Raw genomic sequence first — 17347 nt, forward strand, 5'->3', positions numbered from 1 at the left:
AATTGATGTGCCAATTTGTTTCTAATGGAACTCACCCAGTAGTACTAAAAAGAATCAGATCACATTTCATTATTAACACAATGAATCACCATACTCAAAATAACAAAATCACCCCAAATCATGATTTCCCTAAGAAACAGATTGGGGTAAGAGTATGAATAAAATCAGTCATATAACCCCCCCACCCCCGTGGAAAACAGTTTAGCTGTTTCTAATAAAATTGAGCACACGCCTACCTCGTAGCCCAGTAATTCCACTCCCTATTTAGTACATTTGACCCTTGAACAATGTGGGGGTAGGGGTGCTGACCCCTCACACTGTTGAAAATCCACATATAACATTTGACTCCCCAAAAACTTAACTAGTAATAGCCTACTGTCGACCAGAAGCCTTACTGATAACATAGTCAACTAACACATATTTTGTATGTTGTATATATATATATGTTATATATTTTGTATGTTATATATATATATATAATATACTGTATTCTTACAATAAAGTAAGCTAGAGAAAAAATATTATGAAAATTCTAAGCTGGGCATGGTGGTGTGTGCCTGTAGTCCAACTACTTGAGAGGCTCAGGCAGGAGGATCACTTGAACCCAGGAGTTTGAGGCTGCAGTGAGTTATGATGGCCCAGTGAGCCTGGGCGACAGAGTGAGACATTGTCTCAAAAAAAAAAAAAAAAAAAAAAAAAAAGGAAAGCATAGGCCAGGCATGGTGGCATGCACTTGTAGTCTCAGCTATTTGGGAGGCAGAGACAGGAGGATCGCTTGAGGCCAGTTCAAGGCTGCAGTGAGCTATGATCATGCCACAGCACTACAGACTGGGTGACAGAGTGAGACTGTGTCTCAAAAAAAGAAAAAAAAAGAAAAAAAGAAAATCACAAGGAAGAGAAAGCATATTCACTATTCATTCAGTGGAAGTAGATTGTCATAAAGGTCATCCTCCTCGTCTTCACGTTGAGCAGGCTGAGGAGGAGAGGTTGGTCTTGCTGTCTCGAGTGTGGCAGAGGCAGAAGAAAGTCCAAGCATAAGTGGACCTGCTCTGTTCAAACTGGTGTTATCCAAGGGTCAGCTGTATATACCTAAATGAGATGAATGCACATGTTCACTGAAAGACAGGGACTAGAGCACAATGTTCACAGCAGCTTTGCCTGTCACAGCTCCAAACTGGAAACAACCCAAATGTCCATCAACAAAGAATGAGCAAATAAATTGTGGGGTATTCATTCATACGATGGAATATGACGCAGGAATAAAAAAGAACAACAAGCTGCTGATAACACGCAGCATCATGGATAAATCTCAAGATCATTACACTTTGCAAAATAAGCCAGACACCAAACAATACATACCCGACTGGTTTCACTCATAGGAACTTCAAAACCAGGCAAAACGAATCAATGGCAATTAAGTCAGGATCGCGATTGCCTATGGTGAAGGAAGGATATTGATGAGGACAGGACACGAGGAACTTTTTGAGTGGTAGTTACATGGGTATATGCATTTGAGACATTCATCAAGCTGTACACTTAAGATCTGCATGCTTTACTGTATATGAGCTATACCTCGATTAAAAAAAGCTTCAAACATCCCTCCCCACTTTCTAATGGTTTGGCTTTGGGCAAGTGACCTGTCTGAGCCTCAGTTTCCTTTATCTCTGAAAGGGGGTGGTCACAGGGGTTGAGAGGATGTGCTGAGATAATTATAATCCATGCAGCAGCCTAGCTCACGGTGGGCGCTTGGCAATGGGGGGCTTTGTTGATGTCATTCAGCAAGGCTCGGGCTGGGCCTTGGATGATCGGCAGCTGTGAGCGCAGCGGGGCCTGGCGTCTGCCCACAGATGTGGCTGGTGTGCCTAGCCGACGCTGCTCTGGATTCTGTGACAATCTGCAGCTTATCTTTCAAAGCCTATCTCCCCACCCATTTCTACACCTCAGCAGTCAGCCTGCACAGTGGGGACGCAGCAGGATCAGGATGTTTAACTTCTCTATATGCCAGCAAGGTTTGGTGAGAAAGACCTCCAAATACATAGTGATCAACTGCTCTGATCGAAATCTGGTAATGACTGAGTCCCTGCCCTGGGCCAGGCATTTTGCCAGGGAAGGAGGTGAGTGCAGCCGTGGAAAGATCGCACCAGACACCTGCCCTATGGACCTTGCAGCCTCTGGCAACAGATCAGACAGTCATCAAAGAATGAGCCCACAGACATGGGGCAACTGCATCTTTCACAACTGCCAAAAGAGGCTGTAATGATTGGGTCTGGTAGGGAGGCCAGGGAAGGCTTCCTGGAGGAAGTGACACATAAGTATGGACTGAAAGATGAGCGGGAGTTGACCTGGCTAAAAGGGAAGGGAGGGTGCACCAAGCTGGGGAACATCTTGGGCAAAGATCCAGTAGGAGTGTGAGTTATTGGTGGTCAAAAGGAACCAGAGTGGCTGGAACTGAGAGCTCCATGAAGAGTGGGGCAGGGTGAGGCCAGGGAGGCCTGTGGGCTCCTCCTTGAGCCCCACCCTGTGTGTCTTCACACTTGGAGCAACAGGAAGTCACTGCAGTGTGTTCTGCAGGGGGGAGATGAGATGGTGAAATTAGCCTTTTGCAAAGAATAACAAAACTTCCATGATCGACCACCTACTGTGGACCGTGGACCATGGACCATGTTAGGCCCTCCAATACACATCTCTAAATCCTGACCTCCTTCTGCACGGGAGGCCTCACCTCCACCTTTCAGGATGCAGAAGTCAGGTCACAAAGGTGTGAAGTGTGTTTTCTTCATGACCTTCCCACGAGGGTGTAGGGGAGCTGGGATTCAGACCCCGCTCTGAGGCCACATCCACACACTTCCCTCTGCACCCTCCTGACCTGTGACCCCCCGGGGGTGCAAATCTCTTAGGTTAGCCTTGCTTTCCCCATTCCTGGAAGGGGGTTAGGACCAGCCCTGCCTCCCTCCTAGGGAGTGTTTTAAAGTCAGATGAAATAAAGGAAGAAGTGACAGGTGGTGAGAGCAGGAGAGTCCCTCAGTCCAAGCCTCTTCTTTTATAGAGGGGGAAACTGAGGCCCAGAGAGGGAGATTGGCTGGCCCCAGATCACACAGCCAAACTCGGGTTCTGCATCAGCTGCTGCTTACCAGAAACCCAGGCAAACAGGGAGAACTGCCTTCTGCTCAGGGTTCAGTCACCGGACTGAGGGCCCAAGCAAGGCGGGCTCACGTCCTCTGTTCACTGTGGTCACAGCAGCTGTGGGCCACAGATAGCCCAGGCAAGGTTACTTGTATTAATAATGGCTGAAATTTATTAAGCCCTTTTTCTGTGCCAAAGCACTCTGATAAGTGCTTTTACGGAGTTATATTACTTAATCCTTGACATTGCCCCCAGGTGGTGAAGTGGCTTGCCCAAGGCCCGACTCAAAATCAAGGTCTGTTGATGCCAGACCAACTAGGCTGTTCCAGAGATTCTTTGTCATCCTGGTAGAGCAAATCGAGAGGGGCTTGAGATTCCTCAAATCCCAGCTGCCAAAGCCCTTGCACAGCCACAGGCAAGGGAGGGGGGCTCTGAGATGACTCACCCACCCAGCTGAGCAAAGCAAACACCTTGGGGTGGCATGTGGTCTGTGAGCTGGCATTGCCAGACCCCCAGTCATCAGGGACCTCTGCCAGCAGGGGCGGCCTGCAGGAGAGCAGGCAAGCGAGCCGTCGGGGTTCCTCTGCTGTTTGGGGACTCAGGTGCGACCTGTCTCCTCACCTGGAATGAACCCATTTGTTGGTGGCTTGAGCTCTAGAACCCATCGTGCTGTAGAGCGGAGCCGGTCTGCCTGGGGAAAAGGACAATGAAGTTGGGTGGCCCCACTCAGCCACTGATGAGCTGTGTGACTTTGGGCAAGTCACTTCACCTCTCTGTGCCTCAGTTACTTCATTCAGCACCTGAAGATAATAACACACTGTGGTGGAGCTGTGTGAAGCCAGTAAAGAACCACATTTAAGGGCCTGGCAGGATAGCATGGTAGCTGAGAACGAGTATGACTCTAGAACTGAATTTCCTAGTTCACATCCTGGCTCAACTTCCTGCTACCACTTGTGCAAGTTATTTAATCCTCTCTGGCCTTAGTTTCCCCATCTGTAAAATGGAGCAAGTAATCTTATCAATTTCACTGGGTTACTGTGAACATTCAATGTGTTTCCACACGTGAAGCTCTTAATGCCTGCCACAGAGTAAGCACTCAGTAAGTTTGGCTGTTATTCTTAATATTCCTTCATCATACCCTGCCAACTTGCTTCCTGTCTCACTTTGGCTGCTGGGAAGCTCAGAGCAAACGTTGTTTCCTAATTAGGTTCATGGAAGAATGATCTTTCCCTTACCTCAAGGGGGCTTTCTGGGTCCTTTTTTTTTTTTTCTTTTTTTTGAGATGGAGTCTTGCTCTGTCGCCCAGGCTGGAGTGCAGTGGCGTGATCTCAGCTCACTGCAAGCTCCACCTCCCAGGTTCACACCATTCTCCTGCCTCAGCCTCCTGAGTAGCTGGGATTACAGGTGCACACCATCATGCCCAGCTAATTTTTGTATTTTTAGTAGAGACAGGGTTTCACCATGTTGGTCAGGCTGGTCTCGAACTCCTGACCTCATGATCTGCCCACCTCGGCCTCCCAAAGTGCTGAGATTACAGGCGTGAGCCACTGCGCCCAGCTCTGGGTCCTCTTTTTACAAAAATTTGATTCTAATGTCCTGAGATATATGTACATACATAAACACACACATATATGATATTAAAATAAAATAAATTATATAATTTATTTTAATTATAAAGTTTCCTCCAATTCTTTCTAGAAATAATATTAGGTTGGTGCAAAAGTAATTGTGGTTTTTGCCTTTGAAAGTAATGGCAAAAACCAGAATTACTTTTGCACCAACCTAGTAGAATGTATCGCATTTTATGAAAACCAACAAGGTAGGCTACACGTCATGGGCCCTCTTGTCTGTGAGCTGCTGGTCATCGGCGCCTGTCCCATTCTTTCCTTTTTACTTTGTGGCTTTTTTTTTTTCTTTTGAGATGGAGTTTCACTCTGTTGCCCAGGCTGGAGTGCAGTGGTGGGATCTCGCCTCACTGCAACCTCCGCCTCCTGGGTTCAAGTGATCCTCATGCCTCAGCCTCCCTAGTAGCTGGGACTACAGGCAGGTGCCACCACGCCTAGCTCATTTTTGTATTTTTAATAGAGGCAGGGTTTCACCAGGTTGGCCAGGCTGGTCTCGAACTCCTGACCTCAAGCGATCTGCCCACCTTGGCTTCCCAAAGTACTGGGATTAGGGTGTGAGCCACCACACCCAGCCTCCTTTTTACTTTCTGGCTTTGCTTTTGGCCAGCATGTTGGTGCCCTGGAAAAAAAGAGGAATGCAGGGCAGGGACTGGGATGTGCATTTCTTCTAGAACTCTCTACCCCCAACACTGCCTCACCCAGGTCTGGGCACATGATAAAGATCCACCAGAAACCTGGAAGTGAATTGAAGGATTCAGACCAAGGTGTTTGGTTCTGTGGGTGACAACAGGTGTTTCTTGGTTGTCTTGTGTCACAGATCCTATGTGACATCAGCTCCCATTGCCAGGGGAGCTGTCCCTCCTGGCTCCTCTTTGAGGGAAGGGGAAAGGAAGGTGAAGGTATTGGGCCCAGGATGGAGAGGGGAAGGATGCTGTCTCCTCCCCGTCCACAGGGTGGCTTATGTCTACCGGAGCCATTCATTCATTCATTCGTTCATTCATTCACTCACTCAGCTGGACCTCCATTGGGTTCCAGACCCTATACTGGGGGCTGAAGATACTGAGATGAGTCAGCTGGTCCCTGCCCTCATGGAACACCTAGAAAGACATACGGACAAAAGGATGGGGATGAGGAGGGGATACATGAAGTTACCCTAATCAAGACGTGTGGTTTGACAAAGGACTTTCTTCTCAAATTTTGAATTTATTTATAGTAACAACTGTCATTCATTGAGTGCCAGCTGTGCACTCAGAGCTGTGCAAAGACCTTAACCTGCATTATCTCATTAATAAGCCCCCAAGGCCCCCTGAAGAAGGCAGTTATATTCTTACTTGGCAGATGAGGAAACAGACCAGAGCAGGGATGTGACTTGCCCAAGGTCACACAGCAAGCAAGTGTCAGATGTGGAATTTAAAGTCCAGAATCCTTATCTCAACTTCTCCCATGGGCCACCTCTCTATGAAAAGAAAGGCAGTGGGGTAGTTTATATTGGGGCAGCCCTACAATCCAGGGAAGGTAGTGGCTGGGGCAGTAGAAGGATTTTCAGCAGGCAAGGGGCAGGGGGAGCAGGAGAGATGGGCTGGGATGGGTGCTGAGGCCCGGACCCTTCTGTGGCATCAGAGCTTTGCTCTCTTCTCTTTCTGGAGTCCTGGGTCACCAGAGCCAGACTTCTGATGTGCTTTAGTCCTGTGTTTACATGAGTGTCAGACGGAGCAGGCTCCAGGGGAACACGGAAATGGCATTAAATAACGCTGAATCACACAGTAAGAAAGTTCCCCTTCCCTTCTCCTCCGTGCCTGCTGATTACTCATGGAGAAAGTCTCTGTTTCCTGCCAGCATGTCTCTAACACCTCTCTGACAGCCCCTAATCTCCCTTTTCAATTGGGAAAAGCAGACTTCAAGCTCAGAACCTGCTAGGGAGCTGGAATGCCAGGACATCATCTTGTTTTCATCATGAATAGTTTAGCTTATATATTTTTATTTAACAAACATACAAATGGCACTTTCTAAGTGCTTTGCAAATATTACAAATATTTCATCCCCATTACGACTTTATGAGACAGGTGCTATTATCCACCTTCCAGATGAGTAAGCTGATACACAGAGAGGTTGAGTAACCTGCCTGGGTCACACCTCCAGAGTGTCAGAGCAAGGACTAGGAATCCAGGCAGCAGGCCCCAGAGCCCATGCTCTTAAGCATCTCCCCAGACTACCTCTGATTCTCAGAATTGGTGCTGGCTCTCTTCTAGTTCCAGCAGTAGCCTGATTTTTTCCTTTACTGATGAATTTATTTCCATGAAAATAGGTGAGCCAATTTAAAAGTAAAGTGGAGTTCAAGTGGTTGTGTGGAAATAGCCAAAGTCCTAACAGTAGTTCAAGGGCTACTGAAGTTTGAAGAACACTGGTCAGTCCAAGCCCTTCATTTGGTGGAGGGGGATGCTCTGAAGAACAGAGAGGGGATGGGACCTAGCAGAGGTCACACAGCGAGTGAGCCTGGAGGCTGCCAGGACAGATGGGAGCGCTCACCTGCCACCCACGCCCATCTGCTTCCTGCACGCAGGACTGATGGGGCGCCAGGTGGCAGGAGCACAGAGGTGTGCTCACCTGCCCAGAAGTGTCCCGGTGCTGTAACAGGATCCCTGTTATCTCTGCTGTTCTGGGAACAGGCAGATCTGAGCCCCAAGGCCCAAGCCCAAGTCAGCATTTTGGCCACTGCTGAGCTGACATCTGTTGTATGTCTTTACCTTGTCTTCCAAGTCTCAACAGAGCCTGAGTGGGGAGCTCTGTCCTCAGCCTGCTGGTCAGGGCTCACCTTCCCTACCTTTACGCCTTTCCAGAAGCTTTCACAGCCTCTGCCTTGAGAGATGCGAGCTGACCCTGGGTTCAAGTCCTGGTTCTGCCGTATACCCACTATGTGGCTTTCTTTAGGATGCTTAGCCCCTGCAAGCTGTGCCATCCTCAGGTAGGAAATGGGGATGTACAAGATCAAAGACAGTGGGCTGGGAGGATCACCTGCCACACAGAAAGGCGGGAATGATGTCAGCTCCTTCTGGAGTTGCCTCGCTGCAGGGCTGCCTCCTTTGTCATGAAGGCCACCAGCTTTCTCCATGAGGGTCCTGGGAAGCGGAGAATGAATTAGGGCCATTGTCCCCATCATAGAGATGAGAATACCCCAAGTTGGGGGCTGTCTTCTTTAAAAATCAGGCTTCGGTCTGGAGTTCCACCCTGTGCACAGTGACACCAGTCACAGGCTTTGGATTTGGGCGTTCACTAGTTCCGTGTGGCCTTGGGTTGGTCATTTCTCCACTCCCAGCCTCAGTTTCTTCATCTGTCCAGTGAAACCATGCAGGGTTATTGTGAAACTTAAACATGATGAGTGTTCTTGGAAATGTCTGACCTACTTCACAGGTGTTATTTATGATTGTTTTTATTCCTTGTGTAGGCAGAAAAGTGTGCAACACTCTAAAATTACTAGGTGGGGTGGGCTCACGCCCATAATCCCAGCACTTTGGGGGGCCAAGGCAAGCAGATTCCTTGAGCCCAGGAGTTCAAGACCAGTCTGGGAAACACGGCGAAAACCCATCTCTACAAAAATACAAAAATTAGCTGGGCATGGTGGTGTGCACCTGTTATCCCAGTTACTTGGGAAGCTGAGGTGGGAGGATGGCTTGAGCCCAGGAGGTTGAGGTTGCACCATTGCACTCCAGCCTGGGTTACAGAGTGAGACCCTGCCTCAAAGAAAGAATAATAATAAAATATAATAATAAAATAATAAAATAAAATAATACAAAAATAAAATAAAATAATAAAATAAAATATAAAATTACCACGTAGTCAGGACATACAAGGGAATTAAAACCTGCTTTTTAGTAAGAGCCTCTGAAGAAGGCCTGAGCAGAGTTGGATCCAGGCTGATCTATATATTTGTATATAAAAATATGTGCATGTAAATACATTTTTAATATTTTAATATTATTTTCATGTATTTTAATATTTATAAAGTATATATTTATACTTACACGTACACACACACACATGCACACACACATATGTTTTGAATTGGAGTCTTGCTCTGTCGCCCCGGCTGGAGTGCAGTGGTATAGTCATGACTTGCTGCAGCGTCAGATTACTGGGCTCAAGCAATCTTCCTGCCTCAGCCTCCTGATTAGCTAGGACTACAGGTGCATGCCATCATGCTGGGCTATGTTTTTTTTTTTTGGAGACAGGATCTCACTATGTTGCCCAGGCTGCTCTTGAACTCCTGGGCTCAAGTGATCCTCCTGTCTTGGCCTCCCAAAGTGCTGGGACTACAGGCATGAACCACTACACCTGGCCCAGGCTGATATTTTGTTTCCCATCTGTTCTTCCAGTCAACAGTCTTTTTCACCCACTACTGGTTTAGGCATTGTGGTATGGAAGAAAGAGTGTGAGCTCCAGAGTTGGGCAACCCTGGATTTACAGGCCAGTTTTCCCAAATCTTGGCTGTGTGACCCTGGGCAAGTTGCTTTCACTCTCTGACCTTCAGGTGCCTCATCTGTAAAATGGGGGTCCCTTACCAGATTGTTATGTGGATTAAATGAGTCACTGCACATCAAATGCTCGGCACACATCCTGGCCCGTGCTGGACACTTAAATGATGGCTCCTCTTGTCACATGATCACGAGGCACTGGGTCCTGCACTGGGCTGTCATGGTCCAGTCAGGTGGCTTTGGTGGATATCCAAAGTCAGTCGGTCCCCTGCCCTGATGGAGGAAGCGCAGGCACCAAGCCCAGTCTGGGTGGTCAGGGAAGGCTCCCATGAGCCGAGTCGGAAGGGAAGGCAAGGGCTGGCTAGGTGCAGAGACCAGCACAGGCACAAGCGTGGAGTGCGGAGTGGGAGGGGCCTTTTCCTTTGGCTGTGCCCAGGCTGCCTGTGGGGGAGAGGCAGGAGATGAGGCTGCTGAGTGGACGGGCCCCCTGGGGACAGTTTGTCGGGGAGCTTGACAAGGTTAAGGATCTTCTTTGGACATCCTTTCACTTTCTCTCAATAACCTGGTGTGGATCTATCATCCCAGTATTTATCTAAACCCTTGCTGGACCCATTTATATCCTCCGCCTCTCCAGCTTCTCGGCGTAATGAGCTCCAGATGTGGTGAAAGGGCCTTCCCCAAACCTCTGCCTCAAGCCGGGAGGGTGCTGGGATTGCAGGGATGAGTCTTCGTTCACCAAAAGACAGGAAGGCCTTAGAGCCTGCAACTCAACCTTAGCTTCACCCTTACACAGGCCCAAGACACTTAGATTCGTGATCCCCTGGGGTTCCAGGCCGCTGTAAGGACCCCAAATCCTGGGCCTGAGTGTTCTGTGGGCTCCTTAGGGGGCACCCCAGAGACACTGGACCCTCTGTGGCCACCCCAGGAGTGAGACAGGCAGCCAGGAAGCTTTCAGCCCATGGAGATAGCAGAAATGTCCCCAAACCAAACCAAAATGGTGGCTCAAAGGTGCTCAGAAACCTCCCGTCTTGTGGTTCCCAGCTGTCAGTCTCAATTTCTACCATCTCAAGCCATGTTCTCACTGTTGTTCTACAAATGACTCACTTTTCTATTTCCTGGGTAAATGTATGAAGACAGAAAGTCCATATCCCGCCATAAATAAAACACCAGCATCTCTTGACACCACAGAAGTTAACTGTAACTATAAATACAACAGAGGCAGGACAGGGTGACCATGTCCGGCTCCAGCCTGGTGCTCACTCTTTGGCTGGGCTTCTGCAGAAGGGAGGACACCTGAGACCAGGGCTCAGGGGACCAGAGAGGGGCCCAGGGAGGGAGGAAAAGGTGGCGCGAGGTGTGCAGTGGAGCTTACCACTGCTGGGGCAGCTGGGGCTCGATCCCCCAGGCCTGGTACGGGGCCATGGAGAGCACACCTCAGAACTGCCACCCGCCCTCTCTTGTCAAGGCTGTTCATGGGGAGTTGCCTCCCCTACACGTGTCTGTGTGCCGTGTGTCAGGAGGCAGAGGCTCTTGCAGGCACTGGGCATCTTTGTGGCCCCAGAGCAGAAAAGAGAGGTCGACAGGGGAGGTGAGAGGCAGGGGAAGGGAGGTGAGGGGCAGGGGAGGGGAGGTGAGGGACAGGTGAGGTGAGGCAAGGGGCAGGTGAGGTGAGGCGAGGGGCAGAGGAGGTGAGGCGAGGGGCAGGGGAGGTGAGGTGAGGGGCAGGGGAGGTGAGGCGAGGGGCAGGAGAGGTGAGCCGAAGGGCCTGTGCCCTAGAGACAGCTCCATACTAGGCCCTGAGCCCGAGGCCCCCCTCTCCTGCTCTTTGTTGCAAAAGACCAGTGTGTTTCAGAGAGGTGGAGAGGTGTTAACGTCTCAGCAGCCCCAGTGGAGACTTTCTCTTTGAGGGATCAGGGGATTGAAGAGAATTGAAAAAGGGAAAATGTTCTCAGTTTATGCCGTCCTAGAATACAGTGTCAGGTGCCACTAAATCCTCTTGCAGATGGCCCCGGTGAGAAAACTGAGGTCCGGAGCCAGGAAGGGACTTGGCGAGGGCGTGGACATGCCAGAAAGATGGCCTCTCCTGTCACTGCACCGACCTGCTGTCCCTGAATCTGTTTATGCTCACTTTGACTATTTTTAAAAACAAAGACCGAAAAAACATTTTTAGATGGATGCAGGGGAGGGGATGCCCCAAATCAAATGGGCACACTGAGGTCTGAAGAAAGAAGCCTCAGAAAGTCCCATCCATCCTGCTGGCCTACCTGCCTCCTCCCTGCCCTTCTGGCCCATGCTCCCAGGGTGAGCTTGGAATTCTTGATAGTAGACAAATGGTGAGGACAGAGAGGGGAGCCATCTCACTAGGAGGGGCTTCTGGGGGAGCTAGATGCACTGGGTTTGAATCCTCGCTCTGCCCTGAAATGGCCACGTGACCTTGGGCAATTACTTCACTGCAAAGTGCCTCGGTTTCCTCATCTGTAAAATGGGACTAATACGGTGCCTATGTCAAAGGAACATTTAGGATATTAAATATTCATAAATTACTACATGTAAATGCTTCCAACTGTGCCTGGCATAAACACTGTGTTTGCCAGTCATACTATTATTATTATTATTAGTCACAGGGAAGAAAGGAAGGAAACTAACATGTATTTAGTCCTTATGAAAGGCCAGGCACTGTGCCTGCAATTTGTGTGGCTCATCTTATGTAATTTCACCACTCTAGAAAGATAGTTCTTTGTCTGAGACTGTCATTGACGAACCCAGGGTCCCATCATTGTGGGGATGCAGCCACATTCTGACCCTGGGCACGCAGATGTTCACTACATGGACTCAGGACAAGTGGGGAGGTGGAAACGCAGGGAGAGGAGCCGATAGCTGAGCCGAGGGCTTCTGGGGCGGGGATGGGCTGGGGGTCCATCAGGCTGGAAGGGGCGGCTGGGGCTAGCTCAGGAATTCCGTGGGAAGAAGCTTGCACTTTCTCCCACAGGCCCTGGGGAGCGACAGGCAGGCCACGAGTAGGGAGTGACATGATAAAGGGGGTGTTCGGGGAAGGTCTGTGTGGCTGCGGTTTCAGGATGGATGGGGGCAGCGGAAGGGTCCGGAGGGGAGGCAGGAAGCTCCACTGGGCGGCTGGCCTGGGACGGTCCCCTGGGAGAAGCACAAGGAGCCTTCAGTCAGACTGACCGCCAGGACCTCATGGTCCTGGGCCCTGACCCGGCCCTGACCCTGAGTCCCGCCTGAGGTGTGGACTGGGCCCCAGTCCTTCCCTTCGCCCGTGGGCGGCTTTATCTGGGAGTCTCCGGAGGGTGTCCCGTCTGGGTTGAGCAGGCCTGGCCGCCTGCAGATTTATGAGGTGTGGGGGAAGTGGCGGGGGCAGCGGGCGTGTGAGGCAGCCCTGGTGGGAGAGGGGAGAGCTGGAGGATGCTCTCCAGCCCATGGACCTGCGCTGACCCCATTTCCACCCCGAACTAACCCCACCCCATCTCACTGGGCCAGCCCCAGAACAAGGCGGCACCTGCTGCCTCAGTTTCTCCTCACAGACACCTTGAGGGGTGAGTAGAGAGAGGCTACAGGCAAGAACCTTAGATATGAGGAGGCTGTAGACAGAACATGCTAGAAGCTTCTGTACCCGGGTCAGAAGATGTCTATGATACGAAAGCAGTTTACTAACAGTATGCTGGGTATGATTCCATTTGCAACTTTGAAAGGAATAAATATGCATCTGTGCCTCTATAAATACATTTTATGTGCAGTAAAATGCCTAAATGATGTTTAGTTTGTGACTTCTTCTGGGGAAAGAGCTTTGACTTTCACTTTATACCTGTCTATATTGTTTCAATATCTTGTAAGCATATACTTTTTTCACTTACAAACTTTTTTAAAAACAGAGTAATGGTAGGGGGTGATGGTGGGTGGGAGAGGGCCTTTGTGTTTATGGGTGATAGGGGGTTGCTTTTGTGGGGTCCTGAGGGTGCTCAGGGTTTGGGTGGTTCTGGAATACTTGAGTCATTCTCTGCTGAGAGCCCTACCCTCCGAGAGACCCCAGCCTCACTGGGGAGACCCCACATGGATGAGCTCCCAGGATAAGGCAGGCACAGACAGGTTCCAGGGAGGTGGGTAGAGACAGTCAGGGAGGGTTTCCCAAAGGTGGCGGCCATTGAAAGGTGAGACAATTAGATTAGATGGGAAGGACAGCCTCAGGCATTGTAGAAGAGAAGCTAAGAGCAGACTCTGGAGTCAGACAGGTGTGAATCCAAATCCTTGCTCTTTTACTTACCAGTCATGGGACTCTGAGCATATTTTGTCATCCTGAGCCTCAATTTTCTCATCTGTGTAATGTTTACCCTAAAGATATTAAAAATCGACCAGGCGTGGTGCCTCATGCCTATAATCTCAACACTTTGGGAGGCTGAGGCAGGTGGATTGCTTGAAGCCGGGAGTTCAAGACCAGCCTGGGTAACATGGCAAGACCCTGTCTCTACAAAAAATAAAAATAAATTAGCCAGGCATGCTGGCACACACCTATAGTCCCAGCTACTTGGGAGCTGAAGTGGGAGAATCGCTTATGCCTGGGGAGTTGAGGCTGCAGCAAACCATGATTGTGCCACTGCACTCCAGCCTGAGTGACATAGTGAGACCCTTTCCCCCCAGCAAAAAAAAATCAGACCATGCTCACTATGTGTAAGCTATGCTTTTTTTTTTTTTTTTTTTTTTTTTTTTGAGACGGAGTCTCGCTCTGTTGCCCAGGCTGGAGTGCAGTGGCGCGATCTCGGCTCACTGCAAGCTCCGCCTCCCGGGTTCACGCCATTCTCCTGCCTCAGCCTCCCGAGTAGCTGGGACTACAGGCGCCCGCTACCACACCCGGCTAATTTTTTGTATTTTTAGTAGAGACGGGGTTTCACCGTGTTAGCCAGGATGGTCTCAATCTCCTGACCTCGTGATCCGCCCGCCTCGGCCTCCCAAAGTGCTGGGATTACAGGCGTGAGCCACCGCGCCCGGCCTAAGTTATGCTTTTAGGTGTAGGGATCCCAAAAGCTGGGGGATGGCCCTGAGAATTTGAAAGCACCCTGCCAGATGTCCAGGACCCCAGCCTGAAAAGGCATAGGGTCAGGAAGGGTCATGTAGAGGGACCCAGAGGGTCCCTCCTAGGAGAGAACAGCTTCTCCTAGGAGAGGGCTTCCTAGGCAGTTGGATGATATGGCAGCCCGTCGTAAGGGCACCAGGCAGTCCTTAGTCAAGGTCCATCCTGGTCTGGGTATCCAGTGGCAGCTGGCATTCATTTGCATGAGCACTGCCTCCCTGGGGCTCCCAGGACAGCCACAAAGCAGGACACCATGCTGCCCTTGTGCCACGCCTGAGCTGTGATCCAAAGCCAGGGTGGGATTCTGGCTGCCCCCAGAGACTGGGACTCAAGTCCCAGTGCCACCTCTCACACATGGTCTTTCCCTGCATGATCAGGTCACCTTTCTAGGCCTCAGTTTCCCTCTCGGTGACACAGTGGTATGAGGGGCAAGCTGGACCTCTCTCTGAGGGCCACTCAAGATTTTATAGTCAGTGAGGTTGGAGCTAGCTGTCAGAACCAGTTCATATCCTCATTCCCCAGCACAGAGCCTGGTACCTATTGGGGGCCCAGCCAGGTCCTGGTGGATGGATGATGGATGGATGAATGGATGGCTGGCTGGATGGATGATGGGTGACGGATGGGTGGGTGGGTGGGTGGATGAATGGATGGATGGATGATGGATGGATGGATGGATGGATGGATAGATGGACAGATGAATGATGGATGGATGGATGATGGGTGATGGGTGGATGGATGGATGGTTGGTTACCTAGTTAACTCATGAACACGCCAGAAAATGACAGAATCAGATAATGATTTGCTCCCTCCTCAGGTCTTTGCACTTGCTCCTTCCTCTCGGAACATTTTCCCCAGCTATTTTCCCAGCTCGCTTCCTCACCTGCCATGAAGCTTGACTTGGAGGCCAGCATAGCCACTAATCACCAAGGGCTTTGAGCAAAACCCTTGGCCTCACTGAACCCTAGTTATCTCATCTGTAAAATGGGGACACTGAGGCTCACCTGTTTCCTTTATACTGCTCAGGTGCTCCCTGTGTACTTCTCAATTCTTCAGGTACTTCAACAGGTACTTCTCAACAGTACCTGTTACTCTTTATTGCACTTAATGGTGGTCTGTTTGCCCCGGGCCATTCCTGCCACCCTGCCCCCATTATCTGTCTTGCCCCAAGGGATGGTGGGATTTCATTCCTCTTGGAGTCGGCTGAGCTCAGTACAACCCTGCAGTAGGCCCTCAGGGAGGCTCTGATGAGTGTCTTGAGTGTCCCTGACAGTGATGGGAAGGGGCCTTGCAAACTGTTTAGGACTGCGCTGTTGCCTTTCAGGAAGCTCAGCTGTGCCTAGGTCTATACCAACACCTCTGCCCAGCCACCTCCCTCACCAGGTGGCTCTGAGCCTTTGGCCAGGGAATTCAAAGCCCTTTCTACCATCCCATCCCCAGCCCCTTGAGTTCGGTGACACACTTTAGAGGAGGTGTCATCCTCACAAGGGGGACAATTAGCAGCTAACCTTCCTTGATGACTGTAGCACCCTCTGGAGGGATTCTCTCACCACAGCCACACCCACTGCTTCAAAGCCAAATTTTGGGCCTGGCTAACAGCAGGCCTGCATGTGTGTCAGGGGAGGCGAGTGGAGAGGCTCAAGAACCTGCCCCGGATCCCACCCATGCAACATTCTCGCTGCCTGTCAACCTGAGGCTTGTGCACTCTATGGGTTCAAGAGGCACCTGCATCCTCTAATTTGCTATAGAGGCCAAACCTCTGAGGCACGTCAGATGGATAACACAAGTCACCCATTTTACAGCTGAGAAAACTGAGACTTAAAGAAGTTCATGCTTGGCTTATTCAGACAGAGCATAACCTGACTCAGTCTTGCCCCCCAAGACCCCACAGTTTGGTGGAGGTGGGGCACTCAGAAATAATTATCTCCCCGCATGGAGGATGGGGTGGAGGCTCACAGAAAATGGGGCTGAGGGAACCCCAAAAATGACCTTGTAGCCAGGTCCTGAAAGCTGAGCAGAATTTTGGCAAATAGGGTGGGCTGGGGAAGACTGTGGGCTAAGGTCAATTCCACGCATGGTAGTGGGGGCCTGGATTCTTTAAGGACAGGGACAACTCTGTCCCCTGTCTGCAGAGGCAGTCTTGATGACATCTATTTTGGTTTTGCTTCTAAAAGCACCTCCTGCCCCACCTGTGCCCTCTTCCCCAGCTTCAGGTGTTCTTGCCTCTGTCCTCAAGGAGCAGCTCTCCAACCTTCCCAAAGCTGAAAAGCTGAGCTCCTCAGAGTCTGCCTCATGTCATCCTGGCCACAGGAGGGAGGACACATGCCATGATCCCCTGTCCGGGAGGGTGATATAACTCGGGGAGATGAGACCGCAGAGGCTGGGCCAGCTGAGCACACCCCAAGGCCTGTGTGAGTCACTCCTCTGCTGCTGTAACCCATTTCTCTCCTCTGCTCCAGGGGCCTCCCCATCATCCCATCTGTACACCCAGGAAAGTGGCCTTAGATCACTTAGGATGACAGGCTTGGGAGGGTGGCTGTGTCTCGGGTAGGTATAAGATCCTGTTCGGCCTTTTTCTTTCATCCTCCCGACGAGCCTGCAAAGGAAGATCCCATTTTTCCAGATAAGGAACTGCAGCTCAGAGAGGTGAATGCATGTGACCAAGGCCACACAGCCCATCCCAATGTTGAGCCAGGTGATGCCAGCTGTCTCCAGAGCCAGTGGTCTTGCCAAGTGCAGGTCTGTAGGCTTCCTAGGCTGGCAGCATCAGCATCACCTGGGAGGCTTGTGGAAAATACAGATTCCCAGCCACCAATTATGAGCCTGCCCCCATGATTCTCTTCTGATCTCATGGGGATCAGGGAATGCCAGGACTGATGTTTTTAAAACGTGCCTGAGTCCATTGTGATGCACAGCCAGCTGCTACCCTGTGCCACCACCAAATGATGTTCAAAGTGTGACAGATTATGAGAAGCAAAAAAACAAAGAGTAGCACGAACACACCAAAATGTTGGCAGTGGTCGCGGAGAGCGGGAGGGATCGTGGGGGGA

At 50.5% G+C, this 17347-nt stretch overlaps 1 protein-coding gene across 6 annotated transcripts in view, besides 3 other annotated features; it reads left to right on the forward strand.

Moving 5' to 3' along the window:
* EPHB2 (EPH receptor B2) overlaps positions 1–17347 on the forward strand; it is a 210663-nt gene that overhangs the window by 33160 nt on the left and 160156 nt on the right.
* Positions 6517–6566: an enhancer, noted in NCBI's record as "active region_354". NCBI's record gives its function as "activates an Ori minimal core promoter by ATAC-STARR-seq in GM12878 lymphoblastoid cells {active_cell/tissue: GM12878}" and the evidence as "EXISTENCE:reporter gene assay evidence [ECO:0000049][PMID:35858748]".
* Positions 10267–10466: an enhancer, noted in NCBI's record as "active region_355". NCBI's record gives its function as "activates an Ori minimal core promoter by ATAC-STARR-seq in GM12878 lymphoblastoid cells {active_cell/tissue: GM12878}" and the evidence as "EXISTENCE:reporter gene assay evidence [ECO:0000049][PMID:35858748]".
* Positions 12371–12532: a silencer, noted in NCBI's record as "fragment chr1:23082861-23083022 (GRCh37/hg19 assembly coordinates)". NCBI's record gives its function as "represses an EF-1alpha promoter that drives an FKBP-Casp9 reporter gene in an ReSE screen in HepG2 liver carcinoma cells {active_cell/tissue: HepG2}" and the evidence as "EXISTENCE:reporter gene assay evidence [ECO:0000049][PMID:32094911]".

This window comes from Homo sapiens, chromosome 1, assembly GCF_000001405.40.
Source record: "Homo sapiens chromosome 1, GRCh38.p14 Primary Assembly".
Lineage (NCBI taxonomy): Eukaryota > Metazoa > Chordata > Mammalia > Primates > Hominidae > Homo > Homo sapiens.